The 20820-nt window shown below is 39.0% G+C and overlaps 3 annotated features.

Annotated features, from left to right (window-relative positions):
• Positions 9269–9443: a silencer, noted in NCBI's record as "fragment chr3:20355404-20355578 (GRCh37/hg19 assembly coordinates)". NCBI's record gives its function as "represses an EF-1alpha promoter that drives an FKBP-Casp9 reporter gene in an ReSE screen in phorbol 12-myristate 13-acetate-treated (for megakaryocytic differentiation) K562 erythroleukemia cells {active_cell/tissue: K562(+PMA)}" and the evidence as "EXISTENCE:reporter gene assay evidence [ECO:0000049][PMID:32094911]".
• Positions 11341–11842: an enhancer, noted in NCBI's record as "H3K4me1 hESC enhancer chr3:20353005-20353506 (GRCh37/hg19 assembly coordinates)". NCBI's record gives its function as "activates a minimal SCP1, AML or CMV promoter by ChIP-STARR-seq in naive H9 embryonic stem cells {active_cell/tissue: H9 hESC(naive)}" and the evidence as "EXISTENCE:reporter gene assay evidence [ECO:0000049][PMID:30033119]".
• Positions 18072–18272: a silencer, noted in NCBI's record as "peak4564 fragment used in MPRA reporter construct". NCBI's record gives its function as "represses an SCP1 promoter by STARR-seq MPRAs in K562 erythroleukemia cells {active_cell/tissue: K562}" and the evidence as "EXISTENCE:reporter gene assay evidence [ECO:0000049][PMID:32103011]".

Genomic DNA, 20820 nt, shown 5'->3' with positions numbered 1-20820 from the left:
TGACCTGCATCCCCTTGTTTCTGTCTCTTTTCTCCATCCTAACAGCCATCATTTTATTGTAACATAACCATTTGCATGTTGGTCTCCTCTAGTAGACAGTAAATGCCTCAAAAATAAGGTTTACATCTCTTTATGTCCTGTACTTAGCATATTATAGATACTGAATGATTAATGAGTAAATAAATGGACAAATAAATGAAATTGTGTAATGAGATGAAGTAGAATTCATTCACTTACTTGGGACCAAAAATAAAGTCCTGAGGCCACAGCAGTTTGAACTGCCTAACTCCTAAAAATTACCAATATTCTCATTTTACAAATAAAGAAACTGGAATTCTAGAAAAATTAGGAAACTTACTCCAGAAAGTAAATTTCAAAAAACAAATACAAATAATTCTCCATTACATGAAAAGGTAAATGCAAATTAAAACCATTTTTTATCTATTAGACTGGCAGATATAGTTTTTATAATAAGCTTTTTTGGTATGGTATAATAGGCACTTTTATATATTGTTGGTAGAAGTGTACATTGGAATCACCACCAATTTGACACTATAGTGGAAATTTGTATCAAGATTACAAATATATGTAACACTTGGACCAGAAAATCCACTTTTAGAAATTTATCCTACAAAAACTCCTATACTAGTTTGAAAGGTTATATGAATAAGAATATTCATTCCTTCATAGTTTGTAGTAGCAAAAGGTTGGAGAAATCTCTGTTGTCTATCATCAGGCTAAACATATTATAATATATCTAGAGCAGTGGTTCTCAAAGTATGGTCCTCAGACTAACAGCATCAGCATCTCCCGGGAATTTATCAGAAATGCAAATTCTCACACTTGAGGGTAGAGCTCAGCAATCTGTATTTTAACAAGCCCTCTATGTAACTTTGATATATATTAAAATTTGAAAAACATTCACCTATAAAATGAAGTACCATGAAGCTAGGTAAAAAAGAGGAAGCTGTCTATGTGCTGCTAAGGCAAGATCACCATTACACAGCACTTTGTTAGGTGAAGAAACTGCAAAAGAGTGTCTGTAATATGTTACCTTTTTGTAAAAGAAAGAAGGAAAGAAGCCATATTTTAATTGGCTTTTAAATAAATTTTTTAAACTGAAAATCTGGACGCAAGAAATTAAGAAGAATCATTATGTATGACTGCAGTGTCTTGGCAGAGGGGTAACAAGAAATAGGAGAGAGACTTGTAACTATGAACTTTATTTTATACTTTGTGAGTTTTTTTTGTTTTTGTTTTTTGTTTTTTTTTAGACAGAGTCTCTCTCTGTTGCCCAGGCTGGAGTGCAGTGGCGCCACTTTAGCTCACTACAACCTCCACCTCCTGGGCTCAAGAGATTCTCGTGCCTCAGCCTCCTGAATAGCTGGGACTACAGGCACGCACCACCATGCCCAGCTGAGTTTTGTAACTTTAGTAGCGATGCCGGGCGGGGGCGGTTGACCATGTTGGCTGGCTGGTCTCAAACTGCTGACCTCAAGTGATCCACCCGTCTCAGCCTCCCAAAGTGCTGAGATTACAGGCATGAACCACTACACCTGGCCTTGCTTTGTGATTTTTGAACCACATGAATATATTAACTCCTTGATTGACAGATAGATTATAGATAGATGGATAGATAGATAGACAGGTAGGTGACAGATAGACAGACAGACTTGTTTTAATTATGTATATCTCCAAAGTGTAGTGAAAGAGAATTACTAACTGAGCTAACTCCTTCCTACTGCATTTTTCTTATCAAGACCCTGCAGAATTATAAACAGTTCTGTTTTTTTTTTCTTTTTTAAGAGTTACTGATGATCTGTAATAAAATCAGGTAGATAACACACAGACAGACAGACACTCAGATGCATGTAAACACACACTTAAGGAAGGACTGGCTGCCTTGTTAACAAGATAACTAATTTTCCAATTGCTTATTTCCAAATTTAAGACATTTCTTACCCATGTGCAGGAGTTTATCCAATTGCAGAAAGGCGTATCTACTCACAAATTGTCTGTCTAAATTGGAGCAACCAGACAGATCTAAACATAAAGGCTATTAATAATGCAAATACCAGGTCACACTGATTGAAGATAATTAAATTAAATTAAACAGCACACCTACTATACGGCTTGTAATCCTAGAATCTGAGCGAAGTCCAACAATTTAGATAGTTTCAAACATGCACAACCCATTGATACCAAGAAATGTTTTGTGGTGGTCACATTAGATGTCTATGTGAGTATATTGCTGTTAATTTGATGTGTGAACCTTAATAGTTACTTAAAAAATCCAATTGTCCTTTCTATAAAAAAAGAAAAACTAGCGTAACCCTCATCTTCTCCCTGGAATGTGATAGGAATTAATTAGGGATTTTTTAAATTTAGTAATATTTTTAGCTTTTCAATTCCATACATTATGCAAAAAGCAAATAGCCTTGTCATAAATGTCTTATTATTCTGTCCTATTTTCAGTGTAGTGACACTCGGACAGAGTTAAATCCCAAGATCACTTCCTGCTGCCAAACTTCAAAATGGAATCCACAGCAATGACCTCACCTAAATCTCCAGAAGGACTGGAAAATTACAACTCCAGGTGGCTGTTTCTGGCTTACGTCCTCAGGAGACCTTTATAGGCCCTGTGCTGTAGAACATGAGCCCCACACTAGGTGTATTTACCGTGCTATTTGCTTTGATCTGAATTTCCTCTGATAAGTACCTTTGAAGTCCACATATTTTTCTGAGTCTGCTGCCCTGCAGATGCCCAAAATGAGCCATGAGAACTATTAAACTGTGTCTTGACCTTCTGTGGAAGCTCAAATGAACCATCAGTAATAGGATATAAGAGAACCAAGAGAGACCATAGCCAGTGATAGGTACAATTGCTATCACTGTACTTCTTACCTATTTCAGAGACAGGCTATAAAGATTTCAGAAAATGTTAGCCAAGTGCTTTGAGTCCTGGAGAAAAAATATTAGTGGAATTATTTGAGACAAAGAAGGGAAAAGAGAGTTTCTTTTTTAAAAGGTAGAAGAACAAAGGGAACAACAGAAATTCAATTCAATAAATAGTTATCAAGTGCCTGCCAAGTACTAGGCCCTGGACTCAGAACCGAGATGTGTGAGTACTTACAGGACAGTGCTCTGGAAGACGAATGGGAAGAGACATTTAATAACAACAAGGTAGATTAAAATAAATTTCATGAGAGATGAATTTTTTGTTCATTTGTTTTCATTTCCAGCAACAAGCACTGAATTTCACACAGAGGGTATACTCACAACACTGAAGATATGAATGAACAAATTACTGGATACAGAACACTGGGAAAAAAGCTTGTTTCTAGCCTCTTGTCTCTTAGTCTGCTTTCCTTTATGCACATTCCCCAGCTTGTGACTTTAAAACTCTATTCATCACCTAAGTATTATATGCCTTTCAGAAGCACCATTTGTAGGGTTTAAAGTTTATTAGTAGCAACTTTTCTTACCACTTGGCTGCCATCATCATAGGGGGCAGTTTGGAAGCTATACTGAAATAACACAGACTGCATGTTAGGAGTAAGGAAGAAACTGATTCATCCTGTTTTGCTCAGGACTTTCCCCAATTTAATAGAGGAAGTCCTGCTTTCTGAGAAATTTCTTAGTGCCAGGCAAACTTGGATGGCTGGTCACCATAATTAGGGACTTCCTATGAACTTTTCTTCAAGTATTATCTCTGTATTTTAGTGTCAGAAAATTGAAAATGTTAGACTGCAACTTTCTGGAATACAGGTTAGCAATTTCCCTTTTACAACAATTGAAGCTCTTCCCATCTCTTACTTTCCTCTAAAATATTCACACTTTTTTAAAGTTATCTGACTCCTATTGCTCCTACCCGCAAGAATCTTTACTTGTTTCAGAAAGTTTTAGAGCTAAAATGCACATAGAATTAGCTAAACTAGTCCTCTTTTTACTGTTGAGAAAACTTGAGTTCCCATGAGACAATTGGCCAAAGTCATACAGCTCTTTAGTCAGCAGAACAAGGCAAGTGCTCTAGTCTCCCAGTTTCCAGGTTAGTAATGTTCCTCTTACACTGAGCTTTTAAAAATTAGTCTATCTCCAATAGGTTAAAAATTATATTTTATGTTCCATAAACCCAGACTTATACATGTCGTTTCCCCCTTCACTGTATTTGACAATTCCTAATAAAATCCGTCACAGTGCTTTGGATATCAGTTTATAATTTGATCAACAGTAGTCTAGTTTTAAGTGCAGTATTCGGCTAATGAAAAAATAACACAACCTCTTTTATTCATGATTACAAAAGTCCTTTAACTCTTCAATGAAAAAAAATGTTTAAGAATACTTTTCTATTTCATTGGTTATAAAACTCTTTTCTTCTACTTACCAGAGCCCATTACTGCCTACTGGAGTCCATGATCTAATAATGTCAAGAGTAACTCACAGTATTTATCAGTTTAACAATGTCCTTTAATCTCTACAATAACCCTGTCAGGCAGTATAGTGGATGAGTTGTCCCCTGAAGAGTTTGGTTAAAAAAAAAAAAGAGAAAAAAGAAAAAAAACCCTTTCCCTCTGAGAGTTGCACTGCAAAATCAATACAATGCATAGTGATAGAGACATGCAAAGTTGATTTATAAGTCAGTTGAATCCCAGACACGCATAAGACAAGTTTGAAGATATTTGCCAATACCTCAGTCATTATAATGACTTTATAATAAATAATTACTTTATAAAAAAAATCACTGGACAAGTCAGAGAAGCTGATGCCTATTCAAGGGAGAGGAATATTCCTGTAATAGAAAACGATACATCAGGCTACCCTTACCCTGGTGCTCCAAAATTCAACCACATAACTAATTATCTTTATTTGGATCCTATTCTCACTTAATAACTTTCTGACTTTGAACTTCCAAAATTCCTTGCCTTCAAAGACAGTATGGCCTAGCCAAAGAATAGCACTGTTCATGCTCAGTGACTTTCACATTTATCATTCTAAAGTAATAAACTTTTATGCTGATTTATAGGTCAATCTTTACAAATTTGGTTACAAGCCTTGTCTTGAAAGAAGATGCCACTCTGAGAATACAGAAAACCCTAGTCGCCATAGGTTATGGCAAATGCCCCATGGTAACACCTCCTCCGGAGGCCCCTTGACAGCCAGCCAGTTCACCTCTCCTTGTGACTCACTGTCCCTGGCTTTGTATCTTCCACAAAAATGTCACCTAATAATGTTATCCTCATTTTATATATGAGAGAATTAAATCTGCAAGCTAAGTGCCTTGGCCATGGTTGCTTAGTATAATTATGGTCTGGAACTCAGACCTTTAACTCCAATTTTAGTAAATTTTCCTATCCTGACTTTGTGGCAGATACCTCGGTGTTTCATAGCACATCACCCTGGACACCTTGAATTTCAGCCTTAGCAAAAATCCACATGAGCTCAGACTACCCTCAGGTTGAGGGCATCAAGGGCATGTCACCCATCTTTCTGCTTTCTGCCAAAAGGCCTTTTCTGATGCAATGCCATAGAAGCCTGCTCAGACCAAGGACAAGCATAGTTCAAAGGTTGCTCTCAGAGATAGCCTTCAACCTACGGGGAAATGAGGGGGGCCAGATAAATGTCTCTGACTCGTATCCTACAGGTGGATGCTTCTGCAAAGTATGCTTCTCAGAAGACCCCAGGAGAATCAAGTCTTTGTTTCACTCCCTTACATTGGGTTTTCCTCCATCCTTGTCTAACTCTTCTCATACCCTCACTACTGCTTTCTGGGATCCTCCCCAAATAAATTATAAGCACCCAAATTCATTTCTCAAGCTTTACATTGAGGTGAACCCAAACTAAGACAGAAACCTTTACTCTTGAGAGTGAGCTAAGACAGACCTTCTTTCTCTGACATCCAGGAAGCTCCTCTCTCACTGCTGTCCCATGAAGACCTACAGAAAGCCCATCCTCGGGGCTTCACAAGAGCCGCAGTTTGGGCCAGGCTTTAGGGCCCATGTGATGACTTAGTAAATCATATCCAGGGAAGAACTCTAACTCAGGGACCCAGAAGGGTCCTAGAAGCTGACAGGGATATTACATTCTCTCTATGTCTAGAAGAGCACAACAGACTCTTCATCTTGTGAGTTTCTACAACTACCAACAGTCAGAAAGCTCCAATTATCTATTGATACATAATACACTACTCAAAGTGATGGCTTAAAATGATGCCAATATTTATTTTGCTCACTGCATTATAGATTTATAAATGCTGTCTTAGCCCAGTTTTGAGGCTCAGGCTACAGGCTGGTCAGTTCCCCTTCTTGAGCAGTCAATTATATCCATCTTCAAGCATCTCCCTTATTAGGCTCTCTCGTTCTGGGCCACTGTACACCCATCCTAACCACCTCAGAACCACATACCAGAAAACTGAGGACAGTCTTTATGCCTCAGAGGCCCCTGATTCCTCAATTCAATCAGCCCACTTATTCCTAATATTCAACTGGCCTATCCAAAGCCTACTTGCCCTATCTCACCTTTTTTTCTCCCACAGAAACCCCACAGTGCAATAAAAGCACTTTCCCAGAGTTCCCCTCTCTCTCTGTGCACCACCAATCCCAGTGCTTCTGCTGCTGAGTGGCCCTGCATGGCATACTGTGTTCTCAGGGAACAATGAATGTAACAAAATTGTAAAACTCTTTCCAGCTTCTCTTTCTTGATCTCTGCCTGGCCTCACCATACCTCACCTAAGGTAAAATGGTTAAAACACAGAACAATCCTGCAATTTTGGCAGGGCTTGATAGTGCCATCTTGTCTCTGCTCCAAATGGCCCCAGCTGGAGTGGCTCAAAGGCTGGATAATAGAACCATTTAAAGGCTCACTTACTCATTCACATGCCAGGCAGTTGATGCTGGCTCTCAGCTGAGACCTTAGCTGGAGACGTGGCTGGAAATACCAACATGTGATCTTGCCATGTGACTGCTAAATTTGAGAGAATTAAATGCCTTAGGCAAAGTCACTCAGTAAATATAATTCTGGACATGAACACAGGCTGGGTTCCAAAGGAGAGTGTTCCAAGAAAAAGTCAGATGAAAGCTATTTCACCTTCTCTAACCTTCTCTAGCCTCACAAATCATGGAGCACGCTGCATTCCACCTGTTAGACATGAGTCCCTAAGGCTGGCCTCTATTTTGAGAGGAATGTCAAAGAATTTGTGGACAGAGTATTTATCCTTTGAGGAATCTGCCATTATTGACTTTGACATATCATCTTGTCTTAAGGATCTGATCCATGGATTCCCTAAGATCTTGGAAAATGGTCCCTAGATTTCCTAAACTACAAGAACTCAGAGACCTGTAAAGGTCTTTAAAAAGCATGGAGTTCGGCCGGGTGCCGTGGCTCACGCCTGTAATCCCAGCGCTTTAGGAGGCCAAAGTGGGCAGATCACAAGGTCAGGAGATCGAGACCATCCTGGCTAACACAGTGAAACCCCGTCTCTAGTAAAATACAAAAAAATTAGCCGGACGTGGTGGCGGGCGCCTGTAGTCCCAGCTACACGGGAGGCTGAGGCAGGAGAATGGCGTGAAACCGAGAGGCAGAGCTTGCAGTGAGCCGAGATGGAGCCACTGCACTCCAGCCTGGGCGACAGAGCAAGGCTCAAAAAAAAAAACAAGCATGGAGTTCATCTTTCCATCAGTATACCTAGCAAATGGTTACCTAGATAAGGTTTAAATGCATTATATGGCAACAAAATAGGTCAGTACCTTCTCACACTCCCCATTTTACTGTGAACAGCTCTGCCAGAATATTCTTCCTTATCAAAGTCTATCTTTCCTCAAAAGTTCCAAGTCTTTGTTTTATTAGTATCTGTAGAATTACACAAAATAAATCCAATCTCTCTTCCACTTGATAGCTTTTAAATATAAATTATCGTATCTACCTAAATCTTCTCTTTTTTAAATTTAATAACTCCAGTTTCCTTAGCCATTTTTACAGAATTGGGACTTATAAGATTTTTCCTCAACTTTATTTTTTTATTATTTTATTATTGTTATTATTTTTTGAGATGCAGTTTCTCTCTTGTCACCCAGGTTGGAGTGCAATTGTGCAATCTCGGCTCACTGCAACCTCCACCTCTCGAGTTCAAGAGATTCTCCTGCCTCAGCCTCCCACGTAGCTGGGACTACAGGCGCCCGCCACCATGCGCGGCTAATTTTTTGTATTTTTAGTAGAGACGGGGTTTCATGATGTTGGCCAGGCTGGTCTTGAACTCCTGACCTCAGGTGATCCACCCACCTTGGCCTCTCAAAGTACTGGGATTACAGGTGTGAGCCACCGCCCCCAGCCAACTTTATTTTTTAAATTGAATGTGATAATTTAAATTTATCCTAATTCAATTTTATGTTTAATAGTCTCTGTTCCTTTGTTCTACCTGTTCTGACCCTTTCAAGTGTTGTTTTCTTTTATCTAAAAATTTGATGTACATATCTTTCTACCAACTCATTAATTAAAATGCTAGAGAAACTCTTAAGGTAAGCCACCAAGTGAAAATTGATTCATTTATCAATTCTCTACCAGCTATGCTTAAGTCCAAGTATATTGAGAGGTGGTTTGTTTACATCTTTTAATATAAAATACACTATGGCTTCTAATAGTTTCTTGACCTGACAGCTTATTTACTCTGCTTTTTCAAAAGGAAATGCATTTTGTGACTCTTTTAACAAATATTTAATGAATGCCCAATGCATGCTAGTGGCTGTTCTAAGCACTTGGACACAACAATGAACAAAATAGTCAAGGATTTTGCCTTCTATGGGACTTACTGGAAGAAGTGATAATTTTAATTAATACCTTAATAAAACAATCAGTCCCGTAAATATCTGAAGCCAGAGAGATGCAACAGAAGAAACTACGTACCAAGACACTTGCGGACATGTTTGAAAACCAAACGGAGGAACAATGGGATCGGAGGTAATGAGGGAGAATGAATGTGGTACAAAATAACGTCAGACAGGTGGATAAAGACTACTGCTTTGGATCCCAAAGGCCACTGTAAGGTGTTCAGGTTTTCTTAAAAGTGCAATTGGATGATCAGTTGCAGGGGTTAGGGAAGTCGCCAAGACCACCCTCACTTCTGACACCAACCACAAGTTCAGGGTTCCCAAAACAACCCTCAGATTCAATAATTCACTAGAAGGACGTACCAGACTCACTGAAAGCTGTTATACTAAGGTTGTATTTTATTAGAGTTAAAAGATGCAGATTAAAATCAACCAAGAGAAGAGACACATGGAGAAGAATCCAGGCAAGTCCCACTCACGGACTCTCCAGTTGTAGCCTTGCAGTGGAGTCAAGGGCAACACCACATTCTCTTGGCAACTATCTGTGACAATATGCATGAAGCATTGCCAATGAGGGAACTCACCTAAGCCTTGGTCCGTAGTTTTTATTTGGGCTTGGGACTGTCCATGTTGCTGACCTTTAGTCTCAAGCCCCTCTAGTGGCCAAGCCACCTTGGGGGATTCCTAAACACCCCATCATAAATCACATTGCTAAACCGGGGGAAGAAGCAGGATGGAGGAGATAAATATAGAAAAGTTGTTAGGGAAAACAAAACAGGCAATTCAGGACAAGGTTGGCTCGCCAGTAGACCAAATGCTCACTGTTTTCTAGGAGCAGCTAAATCACTCATTTATCAATCAGCTCTTTGCAGACAAAGTTAGCTGTCTTCAGAATCCATATTTTTCCTTTTTATGGAAAAGTAGGATGTTTCTCTTTTTTTCATTATTTTTGAAAATTTGTAAGTTTTCTTAATTATGCAATGACTTGAACAAAATTTCCACAATTGCAAAGTGGAGAGTAAAATAGTCTTTGAGCACCTAATATTTGTCAGACACTACTAGCCACATTTGTACATGCCATTTCATCTAGTTTTAAGCAGATTGCTTTTCCAAATGTGCTGCAATATAATTCCACTAAGTCTGAAGTCTTGAGTTTATCTAAAAGACCAACTCTGGGGATCAAAATAAATATCTCAGGTAGTAATTTCAGTATATACAGACATTAATTAATTTCACATATTCAACAAATATCTATAAGTTGCCTATTATGTGCATGCAAGGTGCTCTGTATTCACCAGTGAAGGTGGCGGGCACTGGCGCCCACCCACCTGGAGTGTACTGCCCATTACTGTATGATGTAATAAGAAACTCACAAACTTTAGCACCAAAGCCACCAGGATTTGAATGAGGGCTCAACTACGTAGTACCTGTGTGGCGATTAGAAAATTACTAAACTTCTCTGGAACATAATTTTTGAATCTGCAAGTGGGACTAATACCACTCACCTCCGAGGGCTGTTGTGAGGTGTGACAGAATTCATGTAAAGTGCCTGACCAGTGGTAGAGTGTTAGTTCCTTTCTGACCCTTATGTGATTTGACCTAAAAATTATAGACCTGTCCTCAATCCCCTTCTCTTTTTTAAGCCAAGAGAAGAGTGCAAAATTCTAAACATGATACTTAAAATAATTAGATTGCATGTTTCCTAAAATAGAGAAAATCTACTTTTATAGTCTTTTGGAAGATTCCAGACCCACAGCCCTAGTCTCATTTTCCTTCATGACTTTTGGACATTTATGTGGTGGTGGTAACCAGCCTCCATGATGGCTCTTAACAATCCCCATCTCCTGACATTCACACCTTTTGTCATATAATAAATGTGTCTGATCTGTGTAACCAGAGAATGTTGTGAAAATGACTGTGTGACTTCCTACATTAGGTCATGAACATTGTGGGTTTTACTTTGCTCTCTCCTGGATCACTCGCTCTGGGGGGCAGCCAGCTGCCATGTTATGAGGACACTCTATCAGCCCTATGGAGAGTCCCCATGGCAAGGACTGAGGCCTCCTTTCCAAAACCAGCACTAACCTGTCATCCACACAGAAGCAGATCCGTTAGTCCCAGAATGTCCTTCAGCCCAGCAGACAACTTGACAGCAACCTTATGAGAGACCAAGTCAGAACCACCCAGCTAAGTCACTTCCTGTGTGAGATGAGAAATGTTTATTGTTTTAAGCTAAGTTCCAGGGTAACTTGTTTGTTATTCATCAATAGATATGTAGTACATATGTAATAGTCCAGGTGAAAAGCCAAAAATGGAAAAAAGCCAAGTGTTTTTCACAGGCTGAAATACGTGATGCAAAGACATGTCTCCTGTTTTCCAACACAATTCAGGAGTCGACATTCTTTTTTTTTTTTTTTTTTTTTTGGAGACGGAGTCTCGCACTTTCGCCCAGGCCGGACTGCAGTGGCGCTATCTCGACTCACTGCAAGCTCCGCCTCCCGAGTTCACGCCAGTCTCCTGCCTCAGCCTCCCGAGTAGCTGGGACTACAGGCGCCCGCCACTGCGCCCGGCGAATTTTTTGTATTTTTAGTAGAGACGGGGTTTCACCGTGTTAGCCAAGATGGTCTCAATCTCCTGACCTCGTGATCCGCCCGCCTCGGCCTCCCAAAGTGCTGGGTTACAGGCGTGAGCCACCGCACCTGGCCCAGGAGTTTATTTCATAGAAGTTTGTTGTTGTTATTTTTTCTTTTTGGCTTTGGTTTATGCGTTACTGACACAAAACTAGTGGCATAATAAAAAGGGACACACTGATCATGAAAAACTAGGACCTAAAAATGTTAGAAATGTTTGCAAGGAACTAGCCCCAGCCTTGTAAATGTAATCTATTATCTCACCAGGAAATAGGGCAGAAATGCAGTTTTTGGTTTTAGGAAGTTCAAAAGATACAATATAGACTCTTTCTGAAGTAAAAATACAAAATAGCCCACCAAAAAACACTGCTTTCTTTCTGCAAGCGAAACTCCATGCATTTGGTAGCTGAGTCTTTTCATATGCCGTAATATTATCTGATAAACATATGGGCACAAAAAATTTAAAAGGCACAGACTTTATCTTCATGAAAGACAGAGATTAAAAGTTGAAATTAAAGAATCTGAAAACGGGTGGAATCGTGTGAAATAAACACAGTTTTCCATAAACATATATCTGTTTAGCTAAATTTAGCTTTCCATTAAATTCTAAGAGATTAAAGTCATAATTCTCAAGTTCTTCCGTTATTCTCTTCTTTTTTTTGTACTTTATTTTCAAGCCCTCTGCATATTCCATCTACCTACATATCCATACACACCTTATGTGTGCACATACCCTTTTCCTTCTTTGCAATACCTATAAATTTCCATATCTCAACAAAGAAAGCGGGAAAATCCAAATTCTTTGGTCAAAGTCAGCATGTCAGTCAGCAAAAGTTAAGTCTAAAGTTAAATTTAAGCAAAAATCTGTATCACCCAATACAAACACTGTAAGTGGCCTTATTTTAGTTCTCACAAGAGAACACGCATCCCTTTGGTTCTTTTTAAACTGGTTTCCATGTTTACAGAATGAGGCTGCTTAGTTGTGCACATCCCAAGAGACTTAGCTAATCCTGTACTTGCTGTTCACACAGCCACATTCCCATCACTGTGTCAAAGCCCAGAGCCACCCTGGAGAATTCTCCCATAGGCCCTCCAAAAGTTGCAGCTGGCGCAGCTTATCTTAGAGCCTCACTTACAGAGAAGGTATTGCGAAGTTGCTACAAAGTGCTTATTAGTTTCTATGACAACTGCAGCCCACAATTTAGTTTGGAAAATATCCTTTCAGTGTAAGAAATGAATAGAAACTTTCACCAACAAAGATTTTCTTCTGACTCATAGACACCAAGCCTAAATTCAGTTCTACTACCACCAACTTTTTTAAATATTCAATTCTATTTCTTAACCCCAGCTGCCATCCCAAACCCAAATTATTCTAACAAAGTAGTCTAATTGTTATTTCCCCTATTTACCTAAAGGTAATATTCAGATTAAACTATTTAGGACATGGGGATTTAAATTTTACACATTAACCTTTCAGGATCTTTTTTAAAAGTTTCATAGTAACAGTTCAAAATCTTAATCTCCTTGTAATCATCAGCTCATTCACTGAAGTTTCTTATTTAAATCATTATTCCCAAATTATTGTTATTGATCTACAAACAAGCAGATTGGATTGAGATGAAATGCAAAAAAAAAAAAAGCATAAGATTATGTTAGGGCAATTCAAACCTCAAGTTCAAATATTTAGGTGGCAAACAGCATGGTGGCTGGTACTACTTTGAAAAATGTTTTACTGCTTCATCCTTCTATTTAGATATTTGAAATATTAAAATATTTGAGTGGAGAGAAAGAGGTAAAGTATGATTCTGTTTAGAATTTGCAGGTCTTCCATTGTTGGAGAAAGAATTCAAGTGTCAGATATTACTGGAGATACTAAAATTTTTTATCTTCACTTCGGGTTTTATTTATTAAGAGTTTTTAGTCGATTTTACTTTTTATGCCTGTTTACAACAAACCATAAGATAGCTCCATTTCAAAGTTATCTGTTTCCACTGCCACCCTGTACCATAGACTTTAAGTGATTGGATACATGTCTTATCCAGCCTATATGAAGAAAAAAACATCCTTCATATAGCACTGTTTTCTAAGATGCACGTGTTTAGGTCTTTCTAAATCAGTATAAAATGCAGTTGAAGAAAATTATCTTTTTAAACATTTTATGAAGTCTTGTCACAACAAAACCTAAAATCTGAGCAATACTAAAAGAGAGGACACTGTGATAAAGAATCACTGAAGTCTCTGGACTTTCTATTATAAAAGTGGTTCTCTTTCAAGATGAGCTTTCACTTTAAAAAAAAAAAAAAACAAAATCAAAGGAGATCTAACAAAGAAAGACCTGCAGATTCTAAAACAGAATCACAGAGAACTGGGCCATATTAATAGCAATGCAGTGTAATTGAGTGCATCTAAAAGATACTATTGTTTGCATTTTCCCTGGTTTGTTAAAATAACTCTACATGAATGGGATGGCCATTCTTAGAGCTCCACAACATTCATGCCACTTCAGCACAGGAGCAATCAAATATGTCAAAACAATATTAAAATAATTCTCCAGTATCTTTGACCTGGGTTTCAGATGCTAGAATGGCCAAATCCACACAGGAGCCTCCCTCAGGTTCTAGCAGTGAGAGTCCAATTCTGCCATCAATAACTAAAAAATGGCCACCAAATCTCCCCAAGCAGTGCTTCTCAAACTGTACTGTATATCAGATGAAGGTGGAGAGCTTGAAACACAAATATTTCTCGGCCCCACCTTCTGAGTTTTTCATTCAGTAAGTCTGGGGTGAGATTTGAGAATATATTTCCAGGTAACACTGATGCTATTAGTCTGGGGACCAATGGAAGTGGCAGGGGAGCAGCAAATTCTACATAGCTTTAGAAGGTACACTGTATAGACCAGTAGTTCCCAACTTTGGTTGCATAGCAGAAATACCTGGGGAGCTTTTTAAACTCTCAGCACTCAGGCCCCCAACCCAGGCAGCACAAATCCTAATTTGGGGAGGGTCAGCCCATATATCAATAGCTTTTAAAGGCCCCTTAGTCCTTAGGTGATTCCAACATACAGCCAAAATTGAAAACAAGAAAAGACCCTATAGCAATAGTTCTCAACCTTGACTATTTCCCTAGAATCACCAGGGAAGCATCAGGGAAACATTTTTAAATCCTAATGCCAGGTTTCCACTCCCAAACATTCCAGGAAGAAAGATTTTAAAAGTTCTTGACTGATTCTAATGTGCATCAAAATTTGGAAACCACTGAATCCTAGCTAACTTAATTTTTTTTTCTTTTTTTTTTTAATTTTGAGATGGAGTCTTGTTCTGTCACCCAGGCTGGAATGCAGTGGCGTGATCTTGCCTCACTGCAACCTCCACCTCCAGGGTTTAAGTGATTCTCCTGCCTCAGCCTCCTGAGTAACTGGCATTATAGGCACTTGCCACCGCACCCAGCTAATTTTTGTATTTTTAGTAGAGACAGGGTTTTGTCATGTTGGCCAGGCTGGTCTTGAACTCCTGACCTCAAGTGATCCACCCACCTCGGCCTCCCAGAGTGCTAGGATTATAGGCGTGAGCCACAGTGCCCGGCCTAACTTAAATTTTCACATTATATGTTTTTTAAAAGCAATTTACCTGAAGTCATAAAGTCATCATAATCAAGTTAAAGTTATTAATGTATTTTTTCAAATTCAAACATTTTAAAAATAATTTTTAATTAAGCATTACAAATAAATTGAAAATAGGAAAAAATATGTATTACACTAGATGCATTGTTAAAGTCAAGTAATAATTGTGGTTTTCTTTTAGGTATAATTTACATAGGTATAATTTTCTTTTAGGTGTAATTCGTCTTTTTAAATGTACAGTTCTATAAGTTTTGACAAATACAGACAACACTAAAACCAAGGTGTAAGAAAGTTTCAGCTGAGTATGGTGGCTCACGCGTCTAATCCCAGCACTTTGGGAAGTGAAGCAGATAGACTGCTTGACCTCAGGGAGTTCAAGACCAGCCTGGGCAACATTGTGAAACCGCATTTCTACAAGAAATAGAAAAATTAGCCTGACATAATAGCATGTGCCCATGGGCCCAGCTGCTTGGGTGGCTAAGGTGGGAGGATTGTTTGACCCTAGGAGGTCAAGGCTGCTGTGAGCTGTGAGCATGCCACTGCACTCCAGCCTGGGTGACAGAGCAAGACCCTGTCTCAAAAAAAAAAAAAAAGAGTTTCATCACCCTAAGAAAATTCTCTTATGACCCTTTGAAAGCAGTTTTGATCAGAATTTTCTGCCAACTTCCTCTACCCTATACCCAGTTGGTTGCACAATTGTTTTCCTTGTCCCAGCAAAGGGAGATGCATGAAACAATGGTTACAGAAGAGGATGTTGGTGTCCCTCTGTGTTGTACTGGGCAAGCTTAGCCACTATGAGGACATAGAAATAGATTTGAATCAAAACATAAATTATTATATATGTGTCTAATATTAAAATGGAATTAGATCAAGCATAATTAAATTTAAATCTAGAGCATTATGTTTAAAAAGATGTGAACTGGTCACCTTTTGTGGATGCTAGAGAAAGTTACTATTTTGAAAACTGATGAGAAAAAGAAATGAGAATTCATCCTCCTCTCTTTTATTAACTCTGCCATTTGATAACCAAATAGTAGATGCGAGGAGTTTCTCTTTATTGAGGCATTGAAATATCATTCTGTTGCAACTCTTAATGAACTGAGGATCAATTAATGATGTTCAAAGATGGCTAATATCACAAAACGAAGAGAAAATCATGCATTATGTTCCTGCAGATGGGAAAACAACACACCATATAAAATTTTTAAATGAAACTTGAATCTGATCAAACCTCTAGGTCCAACTACCATTTCATAGGAAATACGGGGGACATGGAAACATGTTAAACTGCACCACAGGAACGCAGTCAGGGAACGTGAAACTGCAGGAAACTCTAAGAGATAAATGATCCAGTTTCTTTGACAAATAAATTCTGAGAAAGAGACAGAGATGAAGGGGGAACTTATGGATTTTAAAAAGATGTAGAATACTTATCCTAATCACCTATAGTATGTGAATCTTATTTGGATACTAACTCAAGCAATCATCAAACTTAATAATATTTATGTGAAAACTGGAAATGTGGATACAGATGACATCTAATAAGGAAATTTTTAAAATCTGTGTAATTTTTTCAATATGCTGATGGTCTACAGTAATGTTTTTAGAAGAGGGGCTTATCTTTTAGAGACAGGTACTGTAATATTTATGAATAGAGTGATATTACGTCAGAGATTTGTTTGAAAATAATACTGATGTAGGGAAAGTGAGTGGGGTAGAAAAGAAACAAGATTGGCCATAAATGCATAATTGTTAAACCTGGATCATGGGCTCAGGAGAATTTATTACATTGTTTTGCTTACTTTGGTTTATGTATATATGAAATTTGCCACAGTAAAAATTCAGAATGAAAATAAAAGGCAAAAAAGACTTCTATCCAAATGGCAATGAAGCCATCTCATTGTCTGGGGTGCCACCCAAAGTTCTTTGTCTTGTGGCCAAGGAAATCAAGGATGCAGACACTCCAAGGGTGAGGTTAGAGCAGACGTTTAATAAGTGAGAGAAAGAGAGAAAGCCCTCTGCCACAGAGAGGGGTCCCAAAAAATGGTTGCCATTTCACAGTGAAATACAAGGGTTTTTATAAACAAGCTAGTGGGGAGGGGGTATCTCATCTACATAAGGCACGAAAAACCAGTTAGAACTAGGTGTGTCATTTGCATAGGGTGAGAGTCTCTGGCAGCCCCTACCCCAACCTTTTATTGCACAGGCAGGTTCTTGGCCTAAGTAACTTCATGTTGCTTATGTTTTTTACTGTGCATGTGTTAAGGGGGCAGAATCCTCCACGGTGGACATGCCTGGCCAAAAGTAGTTCCTCTTACAGGTGCAGATGCAGGCACCCCTGCCTCATGCAAGCTTCCTTATCTGAGAATGTCCAAAAAGGAAAGGAAAGTGCTCACTAGGGCCCACTGTGCTTACTGGGGCCCACCAAATGGATGTGAAGATTGCTGATTACACAGGAGGGTCCCTCTCTGTGTTGGAACTTGCTCCTTATCTACGTTTGCAGCCCCATCTTCCAGGCTGCTCTTTGTTAGAGAAGGAATTCTGCCAAGGACTCTTTGCCCTAACTATCTGCCTAGCTAGTTCCTTTCTTCCTTCTCTCTCAGCAATAACAGGATTATTAATAAGAGCCCAAAACTGGGGGGAAAAAACATCAATCAGTAATGGATAAACAAAATGTGGTGCATCCTCTCTGCCTACGGTGGTCTAATCTATATGGTTTTACAACCTAGAATAGCACTGTCCATGAGCCTCTATCCAAAGGCTGAAATGTGACGATTCTAGACAGAGCTGCCTGCTCAATAAAACAGTTCCCATTGTACTCAACACAGTATCCATCAAACATTTTTCTCACTGAATGGTGAAAAAAGAGTACAAGAACTCTGAAATATAGAAGGTCTAAGGTCTTCCAACATCCTACATTTAAAGGTAAATAATGTGATGCTGATTTATAGTATTTTTTTTTGTAACACTGTGATATGGTTTGGCTGTGTCCCCACCCAAATCTCAACTTGAATTCCCAGCTGTTGTAGGAGAGACCTGGTGGGAGGTAATTGAATCATGGGGGCAAGTCTTTCCCTGCTGTTCTCATGATAGTGAGTAAGTCTCAAAAGATCTGATGGTTTTATAAAGAGGAATTCCCCTACACAAGCTCTCTTTCTTTGCCTGCTGCCATCCATGTGAGACATGACTGGCTCTTCCTTGCCTTCTGCCATGATTGTGAGGCTTTCTCAGACACGTGGAACTGTGAGTCCAGTCAAACCTCTCTCTTTTGTAAATTGTCCAGTCTCGGGTAGTCTTTATCAGCAGCATGAAAATGGACTAATAAACACTAAAAGTAGATCTATTTTAAATCTTGTTTCCTTAAATCTCTGGGCAATCCTGGATTAATCAAATACACTGAAAAACTCTAGTGCATTGCCTGAATATCTAAATGCCCTAAACAGTGACACAATAAGAGATCCTTTAGTGAGAAGTTATTTGGGGGGATTTCAGAGAGCATTAAAAGAGACATGTTTTAGTATGAGGGTAGTGGTTCTTAGAACCTCTCAAGAAACAGAAGGTAGCATCAGACATGTTAATACACAAGGCTCTCAGAAAATAATATGGTTAAGAAATATGTTTCCATTTCACATGTTCTTGGGGATCATCATCTCTCTAATATCATTAACAAGGACAATAAGAAGATACAAAATCAACTGTCAGGGACAAATCTAATTAAATTCATATCTAAATTAGGACATAAATAAAGGTGGAAGCTGGGCACATTGGCACATACTTGTAAGCCCACCTACTCAGGAAACTGAGGCAGAAGGATCACTTGAGTCCAGGAGTTCAGTGCCAGCCTAGGACACAGCAAGACCCTGTCTCTAATAAATAAAAGGTGGAGGCCAGGTGCAGTCACTTACACCTGTAATCCCAGCACTTTGGTAGGCCGAGGCAGGTGGATCACTTGAGGTCAGGAGTTCCAGACCAGCCAGGCCAATGTGGCAAAGCCCCATATCTACTAAAAATACAAAAATTCACCAGGCATGGTTGCGGACACCTGTAATCCTAGCTACTCAGGAGGCTGAGGCAGGAGAATCACTTGAATCCAGGAGGTGGAAGTTGCAATGAGCTGAGATTGCATCACTGCACTCCAGCCTGGGCAACACAGCAAGACTCCATCTCAAAAATAAAATAAAATAAAAGGTGGAGAGTAAGCTCCTTATATTTGAAATACATAGTAACAAATACATTTTTAAATGTATTTAAAAATCAAAATTTCTTTTAAATCAAATCCCTCCATCACTACCTATTTATAAAACTGTAAGGCACATTTAATATTACATCTCAGTAAGAGTGCTTGCTTGTGAGTACACAGACAGGGAGTTCAGCTTGAATTCTATCATGCAGTTGCCCGCTTTTTACACATGAAATCAGAAGGACATTTCAACGTAATTTCCACTGTGCTGCAGAATTAAATCAATCAACATTATACCTGATTCATAAACCAACATTAAGCAAAGCTATTAAACAAAGTTTATTGCTCAAATTTTAATAGTGACCATATAGAACTATTTCTTTTTGTTTTTTTTGTTTTGTTTTGTTTTGTTTTTGTTTTTGAGATGGAGTCTCTCTCTGTCACCCAGGCTGGAGTGCAATGGTACGATCTCGGCTCACGGCAACCTCCACCTCCCAGGTTCAATAGATTCTCCTGCCTCAGCCTCCCGAGTAGCTGGGACTATAGGCGCGTGCCACCGGGCCCAGCTAATTTTTCTGTACTTTTAGTAGAGACAAGGTTTCACCGTGTTGGTCAGGATGGTCTTGATCTCCTGACCTCGTGATCTACCCACCTCAGCCTCCCAAAGTGCTGGGATTACAGGTGTGAGCCACTGTGCTCGGCCATATAGAACTATTTCTAACTTCCTGGTCAGGTTAGAGAAGTTAGCACTTTCCAGAATATAACACAAAAGGCATGTCAGAGACCAAGACAAGCAAGGTCTGAGATCTGAATACTTTCAAAAAAGACTACTTGTCTCTCTGCTTCTCAGGCCCTGATTCTCAAGTTTTAGAATTGACCAGCTACTCTTTCTTCAATTTCTGAACAGCTACTCCCTCTATCATCCTTCTTCTCTGAAATCAATTACTGGTTTCACAAATTTTAATAAAGATGAATTAAAATTGATGTTAGTTTTAGAAACTAGACTGAGAATTTTCCCGTATCCCTTCAGATAATTAGAGGTACCCGAGAGTGTTAGAATTCACTGCTTGAGGGATTTTCTCAGCCAAAAATAAACATATGGTATAGGGGGCTGTTTCTTGGCAGGAAACTGCTGTCAACAAGCTCATAGGGACCTGTCATCAGGGCCCCGCACAGCCAGTGGGACGACGTGTAATATTGGCTGGCTACCTGCTCCCTCGAGCAAGTGGAAAGTAACTCTTCTGCCTTTTTGCCACAACCCTGTATATTAAACAGATGCAACTTATTTCCAAAGAGTACTTTGCTTGTGAAATTAACATTGAAAACATCGAAAGTGAAAACGCACAGGGTCAGCAGGTAGTTGGTTAAGATTCAAGCATTAACATTTACGCAAAATGGAAGCCAGTTAGGCAAAATCCAGGAACGAATATCTAGATGTAGGTATGTTCATTTTATTAACTTACAGGAATATATACTACAAGTCATATGCCAGCAATATTTTTAGTATAAAATAAAAAAGACAAATCTGTGGATTTGATGGATTCTCTGAGAGTTTCGCATGTGAAGGTGGAT

This window comes from Homo sapiens, chromosome 3, assembly GCF_000001405.40.
Source record: "Homo sapiens chromosome 3, GRCh38.p14 Primary Assembly".
NCBI lineage: Eukaryota > Metazoa > Chordata > Mammalia > Primates > Hominidae > Homo > Homo sapiens.
The sequence above is the reverse complement of the archived record's forward strand: the minus strand, read 5'-3'. Positions and strand labels throughout refer to the sequence as shown.